Genomic DNA, 22,398 nt, shown 5'->3' on the forward strand with positions numbered 1-22,398 from the left:
TGACATCTAATGGATAGAAGCCAGGGACGCTGCTGAAAATTCTGCAATGGGCAGGACAGGGACAGCCCGTCACAACAGAGAATTAACTGGCCCAAAAGCTCAATAGTACCGAGCAACTGCCATGGAACTTATTTTCCCAACACAGTAGCCAGGGTGATTTTTCTTTCTAATTTTTTATTTTATTTCATTTTATTTTAAGATGGGGTCTCGCTCTGTCACCCAGGCTGGAGTGCAGTGGGGTGATCATAGCTCACTGCAGCCTTGAACTCCTGGGCTCAAGTGATCTTCCTCAGCCCCCCAAGTAGCTGGGACTACAGGCATGCACCACCATGTCCAGCTAATTTTTATTTTAATGTTTCCGTCGAAATGGGGTCTCACTGTGTTGCCCAGGCTGGTCTCAAACTCTTGGTCTTCTGAAGTGTAAATTAGATTGTGTCATTCCCATGCTTGAAGGAATAAAGCTTTCTCTTGCAATACTAATACAACTGAAATTATTTGCTGGGTACAAGGCCTTACAGGACCCACCCCCATCAACTTCTGTTTTCTACTTCTCCATTCTGCTCATTCACAATATTCCAGCAGCACCGGTCCTTCTTCTCCTCTCTAATTGCCCAAACTTCTTCCTGTCTCCAGGCCTTTGCACTTGCTGCTACTTCTGCCTGGAACACTGTCCTCCAGGCCTTTGCCTGGTTTCTGTCTTATAACTCTGGTCCCAGGTCAAACATCGCCCTGTCAATGAGTCTTTCTGACCTTCCTATATTAATCAGCCCCTTCTGCCTGTTTCTCTGAAACATACACACCTACCACATGACCCAATTTTATCTTCCTCATAGCATTTGTCGATAGCTAAGATTATCTTACTTTTGATTGTTTGTGGTTTGTCTTTCTCCCTTAAGTTTTTTGAGAATAAGACTCTTCTTTTGGAATAGTACAGAGAAGGGGCTTAATAAATATTGCTGGCTGCTTGACTGATTGGTTGTTAATATGTTGAATAGAAGCTAAAGTGATTTAGCACATCCTTTCTCTCTTGTCAATGCCTTGCTTTCAGGCTGATTATTTTACTGTGAAATCGTATTTCAATAATATGAGCTGAATATTAACCCTCTATGCATTCCTGTTCTAGCAATGCTAGGCACCCTGACCCCATCCCACCCAACAAATACATGCCTTAGTTGGCTAAGAAATAGATCATGTACAGGAAAATGCAAAAGAATAAAAATAGTTTTAAATTGTTATTTTTCAAAATAGTGCTCTGTTACAAGTGGAAACATACAAAGTGTTCATTTATTATGAAATGTAAAGAAAACATCACTTCCTGCAAGAGGCAAACCCCACTCTCCCTTCTCTTCTCCCAGTGGGTGACAGGACCTGGCTTAGCTGCTTGGCCTGTTTGCACTGGCCCTGGTAACTGAAAGATAGTCAGCTGCCTGCTTCCCTGTGGCGCAGACATTACCTAAGGTTATCTCTGTACTGGTGAACAGGATTTATTTTCTTGCAAGTTAGCTGAGAAGACTAAATGCAGAAATGCCGGATTCTCAGGAACCATTTCAACGAACCAGCACTCCTTTGCCAGTGTAGAAGCATCCTGAGGTTTCACCCACGCAACTAGGCAAGGCTGGGTGAGTGTGCTTTTTGTGCGTAAGTGTGTATCACAGTGAGTGTGTGTGTACAGGTCTGTATGTATGCCTCAGGTGTATATCTGTGTCTACAAATATACCCCAGAGGCCAAAGATTGAAAATGGGAAAGGTCATTTTGTGGATCACCCAGGGAAGGGCAGTGGGAGGAGCTCATTTCACAAATCTAGTGTTGGTCATGTGAACTAATATCATGGGGATAGGCCGCAGTTATTTGCAGCTTTTTATAATTTATTTGCAAACGACCTAGGTTCAAATCCATTTTTTTTGTTTGTTTTAGAAGAGCTAGGCCGGGCGCGGTGGCTCACGCCTGTAATCCCAGCACTTTGGGAGGCCGAGGCGGGCGGATCACGAGGTCAGGAGATCGAGACCATCCCGACTAAAACGGTGAAACCCCGTCTCTACTAAAAATACAAAAAATTAGCCGGGCGTAGTGGCGGGCGCCTGTAGTCCCAGCTACTTGGGAGGCTGAGGCAGGAGAATGGCGTGAACCCAGGAGGCGGAGCTTGCAGTGAGCCGAGATCCCGCCACTGCACTCCAGCCTGGGCGACAGAGCGAGACTCCGTCTCAAAAACAAAAAAAAAAAAAAAAAGAAGAGCTAATGAGTTTTTCTGAGCCTCAGTTTCCTGATCTGAAAATTATCATTGAGAATTTATTTATAATGGTCCCAGAACTATCAAAAGCTTAGTGCATACCACCATCAGATGCCTCCCCATGTCCTGCCCTTCCTGGCTGAGAAGCGTCTGTGTTTTGCTGATAGTTCTGGGGTCTTTATTATCCAGACTGGGGAGTGTGGGTGAGGGCAAAACGTGGAGGCTCAGAGGATTTCTATTACAAACGGCTGAAGAACAAGGACAAAGCCAGAGGGGGAAGGTGGATGGGAGAAGGAGCCAAGACAGGCTCAGTTGGAGGCACTCTTCTTGCCACTAGGGATGAGGCAAGAGAGAGGATTTGGGGGCATCTGCCAAGATGTGAGACACAATAATAGAGGGAAATAGAAGAAGATGATTTCTAAAAGATTTTCTACGTGTTAGGATGGTGACACCACTTAGGTATTTCCTCGAGGGACTGCAATGCTGATTAATGTTATTCTCCTATTACTTTGGCAGCCAGACCAAGGTTTCTTTCCTGAGGCCTTTTACGAGAGGCCTCAGAAAACCAGACTTTATTCAAGTTAGAACAAATTTGTGCTGTTGTCGTGAGGGTTATATATGGATTAAGTGCTATTTTGTGTGTAAATCTTTTGCTAAGGGTCTGGTAAACATTAATCACTAAATAAAATGACAATTTTTATTGTACAAACTACAATTAGGATGCTAATCCCTGTGTTGTTTCTCAAAAGACCAACTTGAGTCTTAAGAGTGCACACTGTCCTTTATTTATTTAACACTTTCTGTTTGCCACTTATTTAGTAACTGTTTTTTCTGGTGTGGATTTTCCCTCAGCATCTCCCACCCCTGGTCCTGTTGGCTCACAGCTGCTCATGAATCTAAGACTGACTTCTCAAGGTCGTCTTGAGATGCAGAGAAATGAATACCTAGAGTTGAACCCCAGTTCCACCAGTTGGCAGCTGGTCACCTTGAGCCAGTTACTGAATCTTTGTGCCTCAACTTACTCATCTTTGAAATGGGAATATTGATGATCTCTGCTTCATAAAGATGCTATGAGCTTAAATGAGTTAATATTTGATTCTGCCTGTCATGTAGTGATTGCTATGTAAGGTTTGCAGGGGTGATGATGGCAAGGTGATGAGGAAGATGAAGATAATTCTTTTCTCTTGTGCCTGGCAGCATTTAGCACAGGCCTGGGCACAGAGCTGTTCTGAAAAGATATGCAAAGCCTAGGAGGACCACTGGGAGGCCCATATAATGCTGAACTGATTCACATGGTAAAATTCCCAACAACACAAGGGACTCTTTCCATTTGGCTATGAACTCTCATTCCTTCCTGGGAGTAGGCTGCCTATGTTATTGTGAGAATAACTAAAATATCTCTCAATCCAAATATTTAGAAGTTGTTGACCAGGACGGTCAAAGGGCTGGGCAAGAATGGTTATGTCCTACTGCCAGGCTCTGTGTCCTGAGAACAGTGGTCAGAGCTAGCTTGCCAGGTTTCCTTGGTGGGGGAAAATTAAAAAATTACAAAAAGGCACTCCATTCCTGTGTCAGAAGGGGACTGGGCCCTGCTGGGGTGGACAGGGTGGGAGGAAATAAGCAGGGGACCCACAGAGGGAGGTTGGAGCCCCCCAGAACACTTTTTGGTCTTGAATTAAAGCAAGCTTCATCTAAATTCTTATTTTCTTCTTCAACAGACTTTTCCTAAATGTTGTGGATTTTTGACTCAGGGATTTGCTGGGTGGCTGGTGACCTTGTGGGAGAAAAGAAAGCATTCGGAGCATCTAGGCAAGAAGACGCTAGAGTAAGACCCAGGCCTGAGGCTGAGAACTACAGTGGCCTTGCCCCAGGAAGGCTGTGTTCTGGTTCTTAGCCCCACAACAGCTGACTGTAGAGAGGATCTGGCCTGTCAACAGTCTTTGGGGGGACACAGAGTTCTAACTAACACTGATCTGCATTGACTAGAGAATTTATGTGTATTGTTTGACTTCAGCTCTCTCCGGGGAGCCAACACCCCTGCTATGGTCCAGTGACCCCAGCTACTTTGCTCAGAATTCCATTAGGGACTTTAACTTCTATGGAGTTAAGGTCTGCTATGGAGGGAAGATCTGAGGTATGTTCCTGGGAATGGCTGGGTATAATCTCAACCTTAGACAAAATGGGTCACAAAGGAAATCCCAGAAAGAGGGATGAGAGAATTAAAAAAAAAAAAATCTCACATTCACAGGAAAGGCCAGGTGAAATGTATGGGACCGGAGGGAGGAGGAGATCGATGCTGACTTTTCTGAAGCAGAGTCTCTGGTCTGGCTAGTTGAATGCAGCTTTGATCCCACAGACAGTGAACAGGCAGGAGACATCCAACATTAAGTGCAATGAATCACATAACTTCATTCTAAAATCCAGGGGACCCTTTCTTGGCAAATGTGGAGGCTCTGTCCTAAGGGGTCAGTGTGAGCCAACCTTAAGAATACAGTTTCTGGCTGGGCGCGGTGGCTCACGCCTTTAATCCCAGCATTTTGGAGGCCGAGGCAGGTGGATCACCCAAGATTGGGAGTTCAAGACCAGCCTGGCCAACATGGCAAAACCACATCTCCACTAAAATTATAAAAATTAGCTAGGTGTGGTGGTGCATGCCTGTAATCCCAGTTACTTGGGAGGCTGAAGCACGAGAATCCCTGGAACTTGGGGGGTGGAGGTTGGAGTGAGCTGAAATGGCACCACTGCACTCCAGCCTGGGCTACAGAGTGAGACTCTGTCTCAGAAAAAAAAAAAAAAAAAGAAGAAGAAGAAGAAAAGAAAAGAATATAGTGTTCCTGGCTGTGACAGGGCCCTACAAGCTGCTCTCCAGAGTGTTGTAGAGCTTTTGTTGGTATGGTTGGATATCTGTGGCATTTTGTGATTGACAATGATCCTGCTTGAGTAGTTTCCCATGGTGGCAGCAAGATATGTATACAGTGAGGAGTGGTCACAAATGCCCAGGGGAGAAGTACAGGCTAAGCTGTGCCAGAGGTTCTCAAAATTTAAATTTTAAATGTGACTCAAAACAACAACTATTTGTTTACCTCATGATTCTGTGGATCAGCAATTTGGGCTGGGATTATCTGGGCAGAGCTCTGCTTGGTAGATTCTGGTTGGGGGCTCCCATGCATCTACAATCAGAGCCTGAGCTGGTTGTCTAAAATGGCTCTGTGGGATGGCTCGACTCTGTTCCATGTGGTCTGTCATCCTCCATCAGGCAAATCTAGACTTTATTAAATTACAGTGGTGGTAGAATCCCAAGAGAGCAGTTGGAAACGTGCAAAGACTCTTGAAGCCCAGGCTTGGAACTTGGATAACGTCACACTCTCTGCATTCTATTATCCAAATCAAACCACGAAGTCAAGAAGTACTTCTCGATGGGAGAGGCTGCAAAGAATTGTGGCAATTTTTTTGCAATCGATCACAGGTGTCCTCTGTGCTTTTGTTAGCTTTAAGGATTTACTTCCAGCCTTTTGAAGTCCATCGAATCATTCATGAAAGGAAAATCTGAGAAGAACCCCAGTGTTTGAGAGATTATAAGAATTCCTTTCTAATGTCAAAAATTTCCAAGACCCTTAGAATAGTTCATGGATTTCTACATGAACTCTAGAACCATACTCCTAGAGTTTGAAAAATTACTTAATAACTAAAAGTTCCTATACATTTGAGGAAGTTTTGAAATAAATTTGTATCTTTTAATCATAACATCATCAGTATGCATTAAAAGTAGTAGTTAACATTTATATGAAATAAGATATATAAGGCTACAGGCATAGATTAATGTGCAAATAGCCTCATGGGCCGTTTGTATTAATAATAGCTCTGAGATATAAGATCCAGAGCTCATAGGGTGGGAACCACTGTTCTAAACCAAATGAAGAACTGGCCTAATGTCATTGAATTTTATGCATCCTTGTCCCCTTGGGCCATGGACACTTACATGTACTTTCCATTTGTGGAGACTGCACTAGAAACTGCCCTGGGTCCTTTATATCCACTCTCTTGACTCCCAAACCATCTTTCCATCAAACCAACCAGTGAGGTCTGACATTCCACTATGGAAAAGTCATATCTCAAGTTTACAATTTCCAGGGTTAAGGTGCAATTCTCCTGGGGGTGCAAGGGCACAGTGTGTGGTCACTACTGGTGGCTTACTCTGCAACCCCTCACTAGAGTAGGAAGGTGGAAGCAGCTCTACTTGGCCACTGAACAGTGGTGGGAGACTGGAAGTCCTCTCCCCAACTCTGGGCTTCTGTTTTCTTGCAAAGAAATGAGAATTGAAAAGGCCCTTTTAGGAAGATCAAGGCTGAAATGAGTGGCAATAAAGAGAAGTGTTTTCCAGGCCAGGCACAAATAAAAACTAGTTGTCTCTTTCTCCTTCATCTTTCTATTTGATCTTATTGCTCTTCCCCTCCCTAATCTCCTGGCAGTGGTATAGCCACCTCCTCAGTTGGAAAAACATTGACTCTGAGAGTCATATCCCTTGAAAAACCTTGGCTGGCACATCGGTGCTTCACATTTGGGGATTTGACTGTGGGTTTAATGCACTAGGAACCTGCAATTCCAGGACAGAGCATCCTAGTGAGTGCCTAGGGCCTAGTCACCCTGTGGCACAGCCTCCTCAGATATGCAGGGTGAAGCAGAGGCAGAAGACCACAGGAAAGGAGCCAGGAAGACAGCAGGAAAGAGCTGAGGTCTCTGTTTCCATGGGCGTTCCCCTTCTCAGCTGTGTGTCTTGGCGGCCAAGCTACGCTTCTGCTCTTTGATGCCATGAAATACTTTGTTACTGTCCAAATCATCTCCCTTTTGACTTAGGGCCAGTTTGAGTGGAGTTGCTGTTGTTTTTTTTTTTCCTGGCAATCTTGATAAAGACACATTAACTTAACAAATTAAGACATATTCATTTGACATTTGTGCGTGCCAGGCTCTGGCAGCTGCAACGTTGAAGCCATGGCCTCTGCTCTCCTGAAATAAAGTCTAGTACAGGAGGCCAACACATGAACAGATAATTACAGTGTAGTGTGAAAGTGTGGCATATGGGAGTCATGGATTGATGAAGAGAAGAAAGCACGTAGACAGGAAAGGAGGAGTCAGACAGCTAGGTTTGATGGGCCACCAGGAGTTCAACAGAAGCAGTAAGATCACAAACAAGGAGCTGGGAAACAGCAGTTCTCAGAACTGACAGATATGGAGGTTGGGTATTGCCCTGGTGTAGATGAAGGCAAGTGAAGGTGTTGAGAAGCTGAGGCCAGGTTGGCAGAGCTAGGTGGTCCAGAACTGCTCAGAGAAGCTTCCCAAGCTTGCTCTTGGCTTGTGACTGCTGAATTACAGAGATCGGAACAGGTGTGATTTCATTTCCCATATTTTCAGCAAAGGCATACAATTGAACAGTGTTCTTATCTGAACTGACAAAAGACCATCACCAATTTATATAATAGCACCCTTTAAAACATTCCTGCCAAATGTTCTCAATATTGAACAAAAAGATTTTGGAATCAAAGCAAGGTAGAAACAGGCCTCTTTCATAAATGGTTTCCATCTTTGCTGCTTCACCTCCACCACTCACAGATATCCCTCGCTTTATAGGCAAAGACAAATGTTTGGAAACAAAAATGAAAAATGGTAAAAATGTTCCTATGTTGGGACACTGTCATCATCCAACCACGTGACTTGGCCAGCATGCTGTCAGATGTTTAGGGCAGCAGTGGGACAAGCTCTGGAGGCTGCAGAGTGTGTGTCCCCAGGTAAGCAACCACACTTCCCAAAGTATGAGGCTGTTATGAAGACCTGGGAAATGAATCCCCTCCAGCCCCCCTCGGAGAGTCCCATTTCTAATGCCACCTCTGTCAGCCAAACTCATGTTAGCATCAGTTTATCATAAAATATGGAGCAGCCTGTAACTTTCATTTTTCTCTTTCAACTGGGATATTAAAAGAGGCTTTAACATTTCCTCCAAAAATGCATTTCAGAGTTCACATTTCCTCCCGAGGGCCTGCTGTGAATGAAGACTCCTCATTTCAAGCTTGATTTAATCCAGGAAGTGCCTGGGAATCAGATAATGCCAGCAACAACCAGCAAGCTAAAAGAAGCTGCTCTAAAGGGCTTCTTTGCTGCATTTCTGCTCTAAAGGGCTTCTTCCTTGTGCATTTAAGTCAGGGGGTGGTCATCTATAGAATGGTTACCTCCTGCTGTCATCTGTATACCCTTTATTCCTACTGCCACCACCGCCTGTGGCACCATTCCCACCATCACATCAGGATCATCACCACCGTGGACTCTATAGTCCTCCCTCTGTGACCTGCCCCATCATGGAAGGCTAATTAACACGAAGGACACACCATCTGCAGGTCTGCATCCTTCCTCTCCCCCTCATTCTCCTGCAGAAACAGAAGCAGCAGAGGTTGGTCTAGAAACTCCCTGGGGTACCACATAGAATGAGCTTCCAGATCCTGTCCCCCTGGGAAGGGGATACAGGTTAAGAAGCTGCACAACCCACCTTGCAAATAGAGGCTGATCAGCACTATAAATCCTTGAATACAGCAGCTTCTTGTTCGTTGGGAGTCATGAGTACTGAACCCACATTTCCTGGATCAAAAATGGAGTGACATATGTTCATTGATGGGGCCAATAGGACAGGGTGTTTAAATTTCAGCTTTCCTGGAAAATCCAGGATGTTAGGATATTGAGGAGAAGGCCAAGTACAGTGAGTTCTGCTCCCAAGAAGACCATGGTGGTTGCAGGCCTACGTGTGACTTCTCAGCTTTTGGATCTGGGTAAGTTACTGGTGGCAGACCCTCTAGAGACTATTCAGAGGAGGCACCAGGCTGACTTCCTATTTCCTGTTGGAAATAAAGCTGTTTAGCTCTTGGTGTTTTAGACATGAAGTCCTTGCCCATGCCTATGTCCTGAATGGTATTGCCTAGGTTTTCTTCTAGGGATTTTATGGTTTTAGGTCTAACATTTAAGTCTTTAATCCATCTTGAATTAATTTTTGTATAAGGTGTAAGGAAGGGGTCCAGTTTCAGCTTTCTACATATGGCTAGCCAGTTTTCCCAGCATGATTTATTAAACAGGAAATCCTTTCCCCATTTCTTGTTTTTGTCAGGTTTGTCAAAGATCAGATAGTCATAGATGTGTGGCATTATTTCTGAGGGCTCTGTTCTGGTCCATTGGTCTATATCTCTGTTTTGGTACAAGTACCATGCTGTTTTGGTTACTGTAGCCTTGTAGTATAGTTTGAAGTCAGGTAGCATGATGCCTCCAGCTTTGTTCTTTTTGCTTAGGATTGACTTGGCAATGCGGACTCTTTTTTGGTTCCATATGAACTTTAAAGTAGTTTTTTCCAATTCTGTGAAGAAAGTCATTGGTAGCTTGATGGGGATGGCATTGAATCTATAAATTACCTTGGGCAGTATGGCCATTTTCATGATATTAATTCTTCCTATCCATGAGCATGGAATGTTCTTCCATTTGTTTGTATCCTCTTTTATTTCCTTGAGCAGTGGTTTGTAGTTCTCCTTGAAGAGGTCCTTCACATCCCTTGTAAGTTGGATTCCTAGGTATTTTATTCTCTTTGAAGCAATTGTGAATAGGAGTTCACTCATGATTTAGCTCTCTGTTTGTCTGTTATTGGTGTATAAGAATGCTTGTGATTTTTGCACATTGATTTTGTATCCTGAGACTTTGCTGAAGTTGCTTATCAGCTTAAGGAGATTTTGGGCTGAGATGACGGGGTTTTCTAGATATACAATCATGTCATCTGCAAACAGGGACAATTTGACTTCCTCTTTTCCGAATTGAATGGCCTTTATTTCCTTCTCCTGCCTGATTGCCCTGGCCAGAACTTCCAACACTATGTTAAATAGGAGTGGTGAGAGAGGGCATCCCTGTCTTGTGCCAGTTTTCAAAGGGAATGCTTCCAGTTTTTGCCCATTCAGTATGATATTTGTCCAACAATGATGGACTGGATTAAGAAAATGTGGCACATATACACCATGGAATACTATGCAGCCATAAAAAATGATGAGTTCATGTCCTTTGTAGGGACATGGATGAAGCTGGAAACCATCATTCTCAGCAAACTATCACAAGGACAAAAAAACAAACACCGCATGTTCTCACTCATAGGTGGGAATTGAACAATGAGAACACCTGGACACAGGAAGGGGAACATCACACCCCGGGGCCTGTTGTGGGTTGGGGCTGGGGGAGGGATAGCATTAGGAGAAATACCTAATATAAATGACGAGTTAATGGGTGCAGCACACCAACATGGCACATGTATACATATGTAACAAACCTGCACATTGTGCACATGTACCCTAAAACTTAAAGTATATATATATATAAAAAAAGCTGTTCAGCTCATAGAGACGGAGTCCTGCCCAGGGAGATGGCGAGATTGTGTCCCTCTGAAGCAGTAGTTCTCAATCAAGGGATTTTGTTCCCCAGGAAACATTTGGCAATGCCTAGAGACATTTTTAGTTTTCACTATTGGCAAAGAGATGCTGCCAGCCTCAGAGGCTGGGGATGCTGCTAAACATTCTAGAATGGACAGGACAATAGGAAACTATCCAGCCCCAAAAAGTAAAACCAGGGGAGGGAGACTGAGGCAGTATAGCCAAGGCCTTGGAACAGCGTAATTAGACAGCCAGCTTTGAAAATGGGAAGGAATTTACATAGAAAGAAGGCGGGCAAATAATGAAGTTATGACAGAACCCTGTTTTTATAAGTGCCTGAAGGGCAGCTGGAAGGGACCTGGGTCTGGCCTCTGTGGGACATTAAGAGGGCATGAGTGTAATCAGCTTCCAGTGAGGTCTCTATCAAATGAGGGCCTGGACTCTGACTGATGCCTGGAAAGTTAGCCTCAAGGAGAGCTTTCCTCTCATCAAAAAGTCAAGTGGCTGGAAGAGATGGCTTCTGGCACTACACACCCAGGAGCTGGCTATTTTCGAGAGTAGGAGGTATGTGGGAGAAGACTTGGGGATTTGGGTCTGCATGCATGAATAAATACCAGGTCTGTACCCTGTACCCCCAGATCTCAGAGCCTGGCAGAGCACACACCCCATGGCAGATATTCTCAACTTGGCCAAGACAATGCAGCCCCTGCTGTGCCCTTCTTCTGAGCCACACAGACCCAGTGAAGGACTGGGTGTTGCAAAGGGCAGTTTCCCATTTCCTGGGCTTGGCCTTATACCTGGACAAGGAAAGGAGTCACCTTGTCATATGGTGTCAGTAGATGTAGAGTGCCCTGCTCCCACATCTGCCCTTCTCTTTGCTGCCTGAAAACCCTCTCCTACTCTAGGGAGAGTCAATGTCAGAATGAAGACCCCTGGGAAAGACCCCAGTAGCTTATCCCTCCTCTGTTTCTGGCTACACCTCTTGGGTGAGATTTGAGAACACTGGCCCCTGAGGAATGTTATGTGGGCTCAGATTGTGAACTCTTTGAGTACAAGGTAGGGACTCGGTGTTATTTCACTTTGTATCTCCAAGCCCAGTGAGTCCAGGAATGGTGCTCTATGTAAGATTGGATAGATGGATGGATGATGCATGGGTGGATCAGCGGAAGTGTCGATGGATGGATGGATGGATGGATGGATGGATGGATGGATCTGTAATGAAAGAATGAACAACTCTGCAAGCCACTTGTTAGCCACCTGCAGGGTATGTGATATTTGTCTCCTTTTCCTGGTAACTCCCATCCCAGGGGTTTCCCTGGGTGACAGGAAGGATTGAAGTGGAGGAGAAAGAGTGTCAGGAAGAGAGCCAAGGACGAGGCTGGGCCATGGCCAATATTCCAGGATTGTTGGGACAGTGAACAGATTTGAAGAAGTAAAAATCTTCTCGGAGAATGATGCTGCTGCTGGCAAATGCCTCTGTGGGTTCCTGGACCTGGGCCTGGTTGGAGGAGGCTGAGATGAGTGGGGCATGGGAGGTACATCCTAGTTGCGGAGTCAGGTCATGAGCATGTAAAAAGTTAAATAGCCACACTAAGCTTTTGGCTCCATTGAGGATTATTTGATGATAGGAAATAAAAATCAGAGGAATAAAGAGTAAGAACAAAGGGCTGCTAAAGTGCTGCCCGGCCTCCTGGAATGTGGCAAACTGTCAGGTGGTGCTTGTCCACCTTTGTCCCTCTGTCTCCCTCTGGGATGGCATTGCTACCCTTCTCTTCTTCTTTCAGCTTAGGATCCTTCTCTGGGGCTTCCTCTGCAAGGAACTTCATTTCTGTGCTCTTAGAACTTCAGAATTTCAGCTCTTCCAGGATTTGGGTTTGCTCTGGCACCTAGTGTGACCCTAACTCTACGTGACCTTTCTGTGCCAGTGCCTTAAACTTTTTGTACTGTAGCTTCTGTATCTTTTAGTTCAAATTCTGGAGTGAGTAGGAAAAAGGAAAGAGATCAATTAGACTGACTTACCTTGATCATATGCTATCCCTCTCCTCCCACTACCAATCCCAGTCATGCAGGCCCACAGCTGGGGCTGTGTTGAAACTCACATGAAAGGGACATGGGCAGTGGGGATATTTCATCAAAGACAGATGCAAGAGACACTGCAAATGCATTTTGAATGAGGGAGGGGAATTCCCAGGAGTTTGGGCTGACCTGTGACATGGGGGGAGGACTCTGAGGTATGAAACCCATGAGATAGGGAGTATGGAGAATAGGAAGTTCACTAGGTTCAGGGATTAGTGTTTGGGGGATGATGGGAAAGTAGGTTTGGGACTCACTGAGTTTGTCAAAGTCTTGAAATAGGTGCTTCATTTAATTGAGTGAAGTTTATAGGGATGCAGAAGCTGCACGCACATTCCCTTCTGGGGGATGCTGGGATATAAGGGCAGGGTTCCCAGGACAGACACCTGGGACAGGTGCCCTGGGATGCAGAGATGTAGATTTGAAAAGGTTAAACCACAGTCACTCGCTGTGAGTGGGGAAAGAATCAGGCCACATGGTTTCCTCTAGTCTGGCCCCAGGAAACATGTTCCGAGTTCCTTAAGAGACCGTTGAAATGGAAAGAGTCTGTTTGTTTTGGGAGCCCCCAAAAGACCTCCACTCACTGAGGCCATCTGAAGTGTGGCTGGAAGCCCAGCTAACAGTTCAGAAAAGACTAGTTTCAAAGCCAATTCAGAGGTAAGAGGGTAACGACAAGGAAGAAGTCCAAGAAGCAGAGAGAGATATTCGAGGAAACACGAGCAGGGCAAGTTCTACAACTATGAAGAAGAGAATCTGAGCTGCAGGGCCCCGGAGGAGGGGGGAGAGTCCTAGGGGCTTGGAATCCAGTGACTTTCCAGGATGGGAGCCCAGGGTCACAGGTCACTGGGATTGTTCTCTAGGGTCTGGAGTAGTGTCGAAGACCAAGGTAACTCAGAGGGAAGATTGAACCTATGACCTTCCAAACACTGTCCAGGAGGAACTCTGTCCTATACCAGAGGAGGCCAGTTTAACTCAGAAAATATTTTAGGGAATGAACTGGTATCAGGAAGAAAACCAATGGCATATTGAGCAGTTGTTTGTCTCCTGGAAAAATCCATCCAGTTCAGGTGACAATAATGAGGAGGGCAGAATGGGTGCAGGCTTTCCCCCAGTCTGGAAGTTCTTGGGCATCCAGCCCAGAAGCACCTGCACAGACACCAGCCCCGACTCTTTCCTGGCTCAAGTGACTCCCCAGGGCCCTGGACATGTAGGGGAAGCTGTAAGGAAACTCTAGCTAGCAATGCCTGTTGGTGGTAATTGATCTGGCTAGAGGGTCAATGTGAATCATTAACTGAGAACTTATGACAAATTTCTGCATGTTATTATCTCATATTTGCGTTTGAAAGTCATCATCCTGGGTTGTGACAAAGGGGTATGCTCAATATAGAATTCCTGCTCTGGTTGAGAAAGTAGCTTTTGGCTGTGAAAACGACAGACTGTCAATTATCTGTGTTTCAGCCTTCACATTGAATTTCCTGCCCTGCTGTGAGGCAGTAACTAGCCACTCACCCCCTCTCAGTCTGCTCCATGCTGATCAGAAACATTCCTGTCCCTCTGTCGGAGCCATGACAATTCCGTTGAGGCAGAGGCCTGGATTGGAGCCCCTCTGCTTCCCTGGCCAGGCAGAAGCTCCACCTGTGGAACTCAGCCCCAAAACTTTTTGGGAGAAGAACAAAAAGCAATTCTGATTGGCTGAGCATCTTAGGAGTGTTGTGGCCCAAATAAATGCTTATTGTCATGGTGACAAGTTCAAGCCAGGAGTGACTGGGCATGAGGTGGATGGCAGGGGATGGATGGGGAGTGCATAGACATAGCCTGGAACAATTAAGACCACAGGTTCTGGAGTTAGAGTTGCGTAAATCCTTGCTTCACCATTTACTAGCTGTGTGTCTTTGGGCAATTTGCTGAACCTCATTAGCCTTGGTTTTCTCATTTGTCAAATGGGAATAATAACACCAACATCAGACGGTTGCGCTAAAGATTGAAGGGAAAAAATGCAGACAAAATACTGCTCCTCGAATGTACTCAAAAAGCATTAGCTTTCTTAGTGTCAACATTGCTGGTGCTACATTTGCACTCTGCTTGATTCTCAACGTCTGGTATAGGCAGCGCATGGAGGCAGGGAGAGCTAGCTGCATGCTTTAAATAACAGATCCATGAAGAATCTGTCACGTTTTGGAGACGCCAGCCAAAAAACATCTTATTTTCAGCCAAGCACTTTGTTTATCCAGCTACAGAGTGTGACCTGTTTATCAGAGACAAGGACACCCCAGCCCCATTTTTGTTACTTCTCAAGAACTACGGCTGGGTGTGGTGGCTCACACCTGTAATCCACCACTTTGGGAGGCCGAGGCAGGCGGATCACGAGGTCAGGAAATCGAGACCATCCTGGCTAACACAGAGAAACCCCGTCTCTACTAAAAATACAAAAAATTAGCCGGGCGTGGTGGCGGACACCTATAGTTCCAGCTACTTGGGAGGCTGAGGCAGGAGAATGGCATGAACCCGGGAGGCGGGCTTTCAGTCAGCTGAGATTGGGCCACTGCGCTCCAGCCTGGGCGACAGAGGGAGACTCTGACTAAAAAAAAAAAAAAAAAAGTACAGCCAGAGGAGAAAATTAAGTTGTGGCTTGGTTGCATCCCAAGATACAGATGTTTTCCTTTTTGATAGGCACCTTCGCCCTTCCAGGGGCCCAGTAAAACACCCAAGAACTGAGAATCACTTATGGTTGTTGGAGGAACTGATACCCTTTGAAAGAGGGTTGAGAACAGTGCGAATGTCATGTGATCTCTGCTATGCACAGAGTAGAAGGAACAAACCAATTAACTAATGGAATGTGGAGCATCTAGGGGAACTGCAGGGGCTCGGAAAAGCCAAGAAAAGCAGCAAAACGATCCCCACGTGGACAGGAGACTGCTGCTGAAGTGTGGCCAGAACTAAAACTCTAGTGGCTTTGACAAAATCTGGATCATTCTGCCAAGTTCTCTTTATTTTTGTTCTAGGATGGGCACATCCCTCTTTGAACAGCTAAGTTCCTATATCAGAGCCCAAATGCCAACCTTAATTCCTCTCTTTCTGGAATCCCAAGACTCTGCCCAGGAAGGCTTTGCTTTCATGCTGTCTTCTGTAGCAGGTGCACCTGGAAGTAGCTCCTCCACTGAATTGTCAGCCCAGGCTAAGGACACCAAGTCTCACCCAGACTTGAATCCTTGAGACAGGAGCAGATTTTTAGTGGGTGCCTAGCACATCCAATGAAGGATCTCTGGGAAAGTTGTGCAGTCCTCAATTAGCAATGTCTTCCATGGATTGGGGCACAATGAATAATGAATAATGAGTAGAATAATGAGTAATGAGTAGATGAATAATGAGTAGAATATGAGTAGAAATGAATAATGAGTAGAAACAGACAGGTGAGGCTTTCTTAGTGCCAACATTGCTGCAGGTCACTTGAGCAGTTGCCGAAGGTATAGACTAGACAGCCGTCTTTGGATTGGCAGCTAAGAATTCTTTCCCTTTGTATGATTTGCTCAAACTCTCAGCTCAAAGCATGGGGGTCATGAGAAATCACCAGCAAAAGGAGGGTAGAAGAAAGAGGGAGGATCTGGTAAAGGCCAATGTTCTTTCTCAGCTCCTGTTTGATCTGGTCAAAAGCAGATGCATTTGGACTCAGCCTGGGGAAGAAACCTCTGCATAAAAGAGACAAGCTAGGCCAGGGAGATTCCTGGCTTCTCCACCACTCAAAAAAAAAAAAACAAAAAAAAAACTGGATGCAAGAATTTCCACTGCAAATTGCTGGCCACATGTATTCTCCATCTAGAAATCATTTGTTAATCAATGAGTGCAGTTTTTTTCTTGGTATGTTGAATCACATCTGGAAATGATCTATCCCCATAAATTGATGCTCAGGAGATGATTAAAAAATTCTGATTGTGCCCAAATGAGTATGGAAATGTTTAATAAGGAGCTGGGATCCTGGGATGCCTGTGAGGCACATTCTTGAATCCTCATAGTCTGGACCTCACTTTGGGCAAAAGAGACCAAGTGGAGGATTAGGGAGGTGCTGGCTCAGTTTCTGTTTCCCACTCTAGTGTGGAGCAAGAGACCCCTGCTCCCCTGCTCGCCCTTCTCTGTCCATCTGGAGCCCTCCTTTCTATTGCTTTTTTCCCAGGGAGGACGAAAGGCAGGGAGGAGAACATGGGGATGACAAAGCACTGGCATCTCACAGAAACACCACGAGGATCTTGGCACATGGGGACTATGATTCTGTTTCACCCTTGGAGAGGTTAAGCCATGCTGTAAATCTTTTTGCGCCTGCAGTGCCATAGCTCTGACTTGCGCAAGGTCATGTAACAAGCTAGAGTCTTGTTGCTAGACTTCTAGTGCAGTGCTTTTTGTGTGCTGAGCTCTTTGGAACCCTCTGTCTCCTGAGCAGGTCTGTGGGGTGGCTCTTCCTGTCTTAGGACCAAACTGTTGAAATTTGGAGGACACTGGGGGTATGCATGTGTTCATGTATGTGTGCATGTGGACATGGGGGGGTGCATCTGTTCATGTATGTGTGCATGCATGCATACATTTATGCAGATATGTGTATCTGCACGTGCATGTGTTTGTGTGTGTGTGCACAAGCCTGTGTCTGTATGTAGGTGTTTCTGCATTTCTGTGTCCTCCGTGTGCATGTGTTGGGCCAGGAGTCAATGTAATGTGTACACCTATATGCCTGTGTCTATATGCTTCGGTTACCATTACCAAGGGCCCTACTCAGGATGTTTAGTACCCAGCCTACCACAGTCACTGACCAATCAGAATAAACACTGTCAGTAACTCAGCATTGGCTGGAGTCCTGGGAGGCCAGAGGGTCCTGCGGGAGAAGCCGGAATGACTGGGGTATGTGTGAGAGTTTGGGGAGCTTGGGGGGCAGCCCCTATATACGAATTGGTCCAAAAGTACTTCAATACTTTAACGGCTGGCATGGCCTTCCTTGTGCTAATTGGAAGAATATCAGTCCTTCTGTCCTCAGAAATAAACCTGGGTAAGTGATTAGGAAGATGTGTGCCGGTTAATGTTTGATTTTCAACAAAAGGAATGACACAATTGAATTTGACAAGTTAGAGTACTCTGTTGGCTCTAGACAAGTTATTTAATCCCCCTGAAAAATTGGGATGATCATACCTACCTTTGTATAAGGTTGGTGTAAGGGTGAAATAAGCTTACACCCATATGGTGTGCCTGGCACGTGGAAGTTGTTACTATTATTGGTGTCATCAGTTTTATTATAAAATGGCACAGTGAATGTTTCCAGGTATGATTTTGGAGATCACACAGATCTGGAGTTTATGCCTACTCGGCTGTTCATAAGTTTTAAAAGTGAAGCTACTTAACCTTTTTGAGTCTCAGTTTCCCCGTCTGTAAAATAAAGACACAGGATGTTACTATGCATTTGTTGCAGCACTATTAACATGGCCTTGCAAGAAGTGATCTGGAGCTGAGCTCTGTTAAATTACTCCTGATGATGACGGTGATGGTAATGATGATACTATAGGGGCTCCCCTCTGAAGTCTGCCAGAATCTGAAGGCCTTTAGAGATCACTCGGTCCTATTGTTTATTTGCACAGATGAGACTGATGTGGTCTGTGGAGGTGTGATGGGGGCCTGACCTCAGGCCTCCCTGGGGCTGCGACCTGCGGGCCCACTGAGGCATGAGCAACCTCCAGCTGGGAATGGCCTCCCCACGTTGCTGAGCCCTGGGCTGCACAGCCGACTTTGGGACTTGGAGAGACATCAGTGCCGGATGATGTGCATTTCATTACTTTCAATAGATGTGTAGGTTGTTGTTGAAGACTGATAACTTGCTCCTGTTCATCACACGTGTGCTGTGGCAGACACCCTCCAGGGATTTGGGCTTTGAGTGACTTCAGGGTGGGAGAGGAGAAAAGAGGGCATCACTGGACCTCTTCCCTGGTGGATGGAACAGCGGCATGGCTTGTCCAGGTTAGCAGGCTATGCCGGCCTGGTCCCCTGAGAAACCTCCTCCCCACATTTTGAGGCCTGCATACATGCTGCCCTTAAGTATGTATGGCAGAGGCAGAAACTCAACAGAGACATAAGCTTCCCAGCATCAGGTACCAAACATGACAGAAACCTATTGCGACTTTAGGAGATGGTGAGAGAGGTAGAGGTGTTTGATGGGTACTCAGGGATGATCAGATAAAAGCACTTGGGCAGCATTTACATTGCATGACACTAGTCTGAGAAGTTTACACAATGAACTTCTAAGTCTTCACCAGAACCCTCTGAGGTAGTGCAATGATTATTCCCGTTTTATATATGCAGAAGTGGAGGCACAGAACAGCTCCCTAACCTGTCCAAGGTTACCCCTAAGTGCACAAGAGAGCTGGAATTAGAACTCAGGCAGTTGGGCCTGGAGTCTGTTCTTTTCGTGTTCTCAGTTGGAGGCTGGGACAGAAGGACACAGCCTCTTTCCCTTGGTGAGATTTGGGCTGAATGCTGGGAAACTGTGAGCAAGGACATTTTCTCCAGGCAAAGAGAACAGCCCTGGAGCTTCGAGGAGGGCCTGGGCCACTCACTCTGCATTCCTCAGCCAGCAGCCACACTCAGTTGCCTGGTGAGCCTCTGGAGAACGCCAGGGCATCATCAATCACAGCATGGCCCCTCCTGGGGACTGGCCCCGCCTCACCCTGCCTTTCCTCACTCACTTGCTGAGTTCTCACGGAGAAAGGGATGGGAAGGGAGCACAGCCTTCCCTTGAAGCACTGGCTCCTGGCATCCATGAAGATGTGTGGTTGGGACCAATTCTGCCCTGAAGTTGATCAACAGGGTTATGTTGAGCCCCTGCCAGGAGCTTGGGACCCCAGTCATGGGCTATGGAAGGGATGAGACCCGTGAAACCCAGGCCCAGCCAAGGGAGGGCACGGGACAAACTAATAGGAGGAAAGAGGGCAGTTGGCTTAGAGAAGGGGGAGGTCTGCAGGTTGGGAGATTGGGGGTCCCAGAGGAGGGGGCCTCTGGGAGCCTTTTTGGGGCAAGGAAGTGAGTGAAGGGGTGGCATCCCACTGAGAAAAGAAAGGGAAGGGGTCTGGCTTCTGCCAAAGCCCTGGAGGCACATCTGCTGAGCCCTTTTCCCCAGATGTCAGAAGGGCTGGCAGCTGCTCAGGGGGCAGGGATCCTGCCAGCTGGGGCTGGCCACAGAGCCCCTTCCTGTGTGCGGCACTGAACAGAGAGCTGTGTTGAGCTCATTTGCTTATCCTCATGTATTCACCTCCCTCAGCTCCTCTGTGTGCCCCCAAGGTTCATGATAGGGACTGGAGGTGATGTATTGAGGGAACAAGAAAAACTAAGGAAAAGTGACCAGGGGTCTCCCTACTCTGACCTTACTGTCCCAGCAGAGCTTGCCTGGGGCAGAGGGCTGGCCATGCCTGGAGGAGTTAGGTATGGCCTTTACCAGTCCCCATAGATCTCTAGATCTGTGTCTGGGGGACACAGGACTATTCTGGTGGTGCTGCAGGAATGTGTCAGGAGGAAGCCTGAGCCCTGACCAGCACCCTTCACTCTTCAGCTTTTGGGGAAGGGCTCTCCTGGTCCAGCCTTGGTTTACACTGACCTCAGCGTCTGATCCTCAAAGCAGCACAGTGGAGTTTCCTGGGAGGCAGGCCATGGCAGGAAGAAGGCCTCCACCTGCTCCCCGAGGGAAGACACAGATAATCAGGGCCATCCTCTTTCCCTTTCCTCTTCAGAGTCTGTAAGTGACCAGAAAGGAGAGCTCATCAGGCTTTTCACACGCTGAAGGACTGGAAGGTTGCTTTTCTCTGTGTGAACAGCTGGAAAAGCCAGTGGAGAGTTTCCATCTCAGTGGGCAATGGGCTCCTTCCTCCTGTCCCTGAGCAGTCCTGGTCTCGTCCTAGCCTGAGCAGTGACAGAGGAGAGGCCCAAGGGTCTGGATTCTCAGGGGTTTCCAGACCTGGAACGGAACCTTTCCTGGGGCTGTCTGACAGTCTCACCTCCCGCTCTCTGTTTCATTCTGAACCACTCACATTATACTTTAGCACTTAATTCAACAGTCATTGAAAATATGCTGGTTTTAGTTTTTTCATCGTTTTGACCTAAGATCATGTTGGTGCCAATTTCCTTTAAAATAATTCTCTACCTGTGGGCCACTGGCGTGAAATCCCAGCGGCAGCCCCCGCCGACCCTCCCTCTGTAATTCCATGGCCTCCCCTCGCTCACGCTCCCCTCAGGGTTCCTTGGCCTCTGTGTTTATACACTAATGTTTTTTCTCACACATTCATTGTGCAGCTTTCCTTAATTTGGTGTCCCGCCGGGCGCCAGCAGGAAGCCACTCAAACATTATGTCAGTGATCTCAAAATTGAACCCCAGGGCTTTCTTCTGCCAGCAGATGTGTGGCACACTTTATTAACTCAAGTACCCACGAGTTGAAAATTTCATTAGTTTGAGGGGAGGGCTAAGTCCCATCAAGAGACCTGGTCTGGACAGATTCTTTGTGTCAACCTGACCCCTAGCAAAACGGATTATTGTTCTAAGTGAGACAAGTGACCTAATGTTCTGCCTATTATGCACACATGGTCTGTAACCTTTTAAAATACGAGTGTGGGAAAACAGCACATTCTGCCACATCCCTGACCAAAAATTCCTGACAGGTGGCAGCCGGCCTCTTAGCAACGCCACCAGGAGCCTGGAGTTATCCAGGGGCCACGGTGGTTCCCTTAGGCCAGGTACAGGGCGGAGTTGGGAGACCTCCTGCTGGGAGGAAGGAGCCCATGAAGGCAGCGCTCAGCCTCCAGAGCCACCCTGTGACAGGTCAGGGGACAGCCTTGGATGGGCCATGAGAGCCCACCTCCTGTATCCCCTTAAGGTGGTCCCCCGGCTTTCCACCAGACTGGGAGACTCACAGGGAGGCAGTTTGTTTGCTGTGCTAAGAAAATTTCCCAAGACTCTGTGCTGGGCACTGAGTGCAGCCACATCCCTGCACAAGACTCCCTTCTCACCTGCTCACCCAGGCCCTCTCACACTACCTTGTTCCAAGTGGCCTGATATTCTGCCTGCTAGGCACACATAGTCTGTACCCTTTTAAGGTACAAGTGGGGAAGAAGGACACTTTCTGTCACGTCCATTACCACAAATTCCTGACAGGTGGCAGCTGGGCTCTGTGGGAAAAGGACCAACATGCTCAGTTGAGCTTAGCACCTCCTGAGGCCTCCTTAGCAAGGCTGGAGCCTGGCCTGTGGAGGAGACAGGTGTCCCAGCTGTGGCCCAGAAGTGTGCAAAGGTTGAGGGTGAGAAGGTGGAAAGACTATGGGGTTGGGCAAGGAGGTATAATCTCCGCTTGGAGCATGGCTGGAGGAGAGCAGGTAATGGAGGGGTGGGGAGGGCTCCCAGGAAGGAGGGCCTGAGCAGGGCATGAACAGGCCAGAGAAACAGGGTGAGGAAGGGTTCTGGGAAGGAACAGGCCAAGGTGTGGGCCTTGGGTGGAGTTTCGGGGGATGCGAAGCGGAGGCTGTAATAATGCACAGCACGCTTGCTCTGGACTGTTTTGGGCTCGGACACAGAGCAGTCCCTAGGCTGAGAGACCCCAATGGAGTGGGGACAGGCAACATTCTTCGTGGTACCTCTGTCTCCAGTGGGC

The 22,398-nt window shown here is 46.8% G+C and overlaps 2 annotated features.

Annotated features, from left to right (window-relative positions):
* Positions 19,154-19,655: an enhancer, noted in NCBI's record as "H3K4me1 hESC enhancer chr2:21211745-21212246 (GRCh37/hg19 assembly coordinates)". NCBI's record gives its function as "activates a minimal SCP1, AML or CMV promoter by ChIP-STARR-seq in naive H9 embryonic stem cells {active_cell/tissue: H9 hESC(naive)}" and the evidence as "EXISTENCE:reporter gene assay evidence [ECO:0000049][PMID:30033119]".
* Positions 19,656-20,155: an enhancer, noted in NCBI's record as "H3K4me1 hESC enhancer chr2:21212247-21212746 (GRCh37/hg19 assembly coordinates)". NCBI's record gives its function as "activates a minimal SCP1, AML or CMV promoter by ChIP-STARR-seq in primed H9 embryonic stem cells {active_cell/tissue: H9 hESC(primed)}" and the evidence as "EXISTENCE:reporter gene assay evidence [ECO:0000049][PMID:30033119]".

This window comes from Homo sapiens, chromosome 2 (assembly GCF_000001405.40).
Source record: "Homo sapiens chromosome 2, GRCh38.p14 Primary Assembly".
Lineage (NCBI taxonomy): Eukaryota > Metazoa > Chordata > Mammalia > Primates > Hominidae > Homo > Homo sapiens.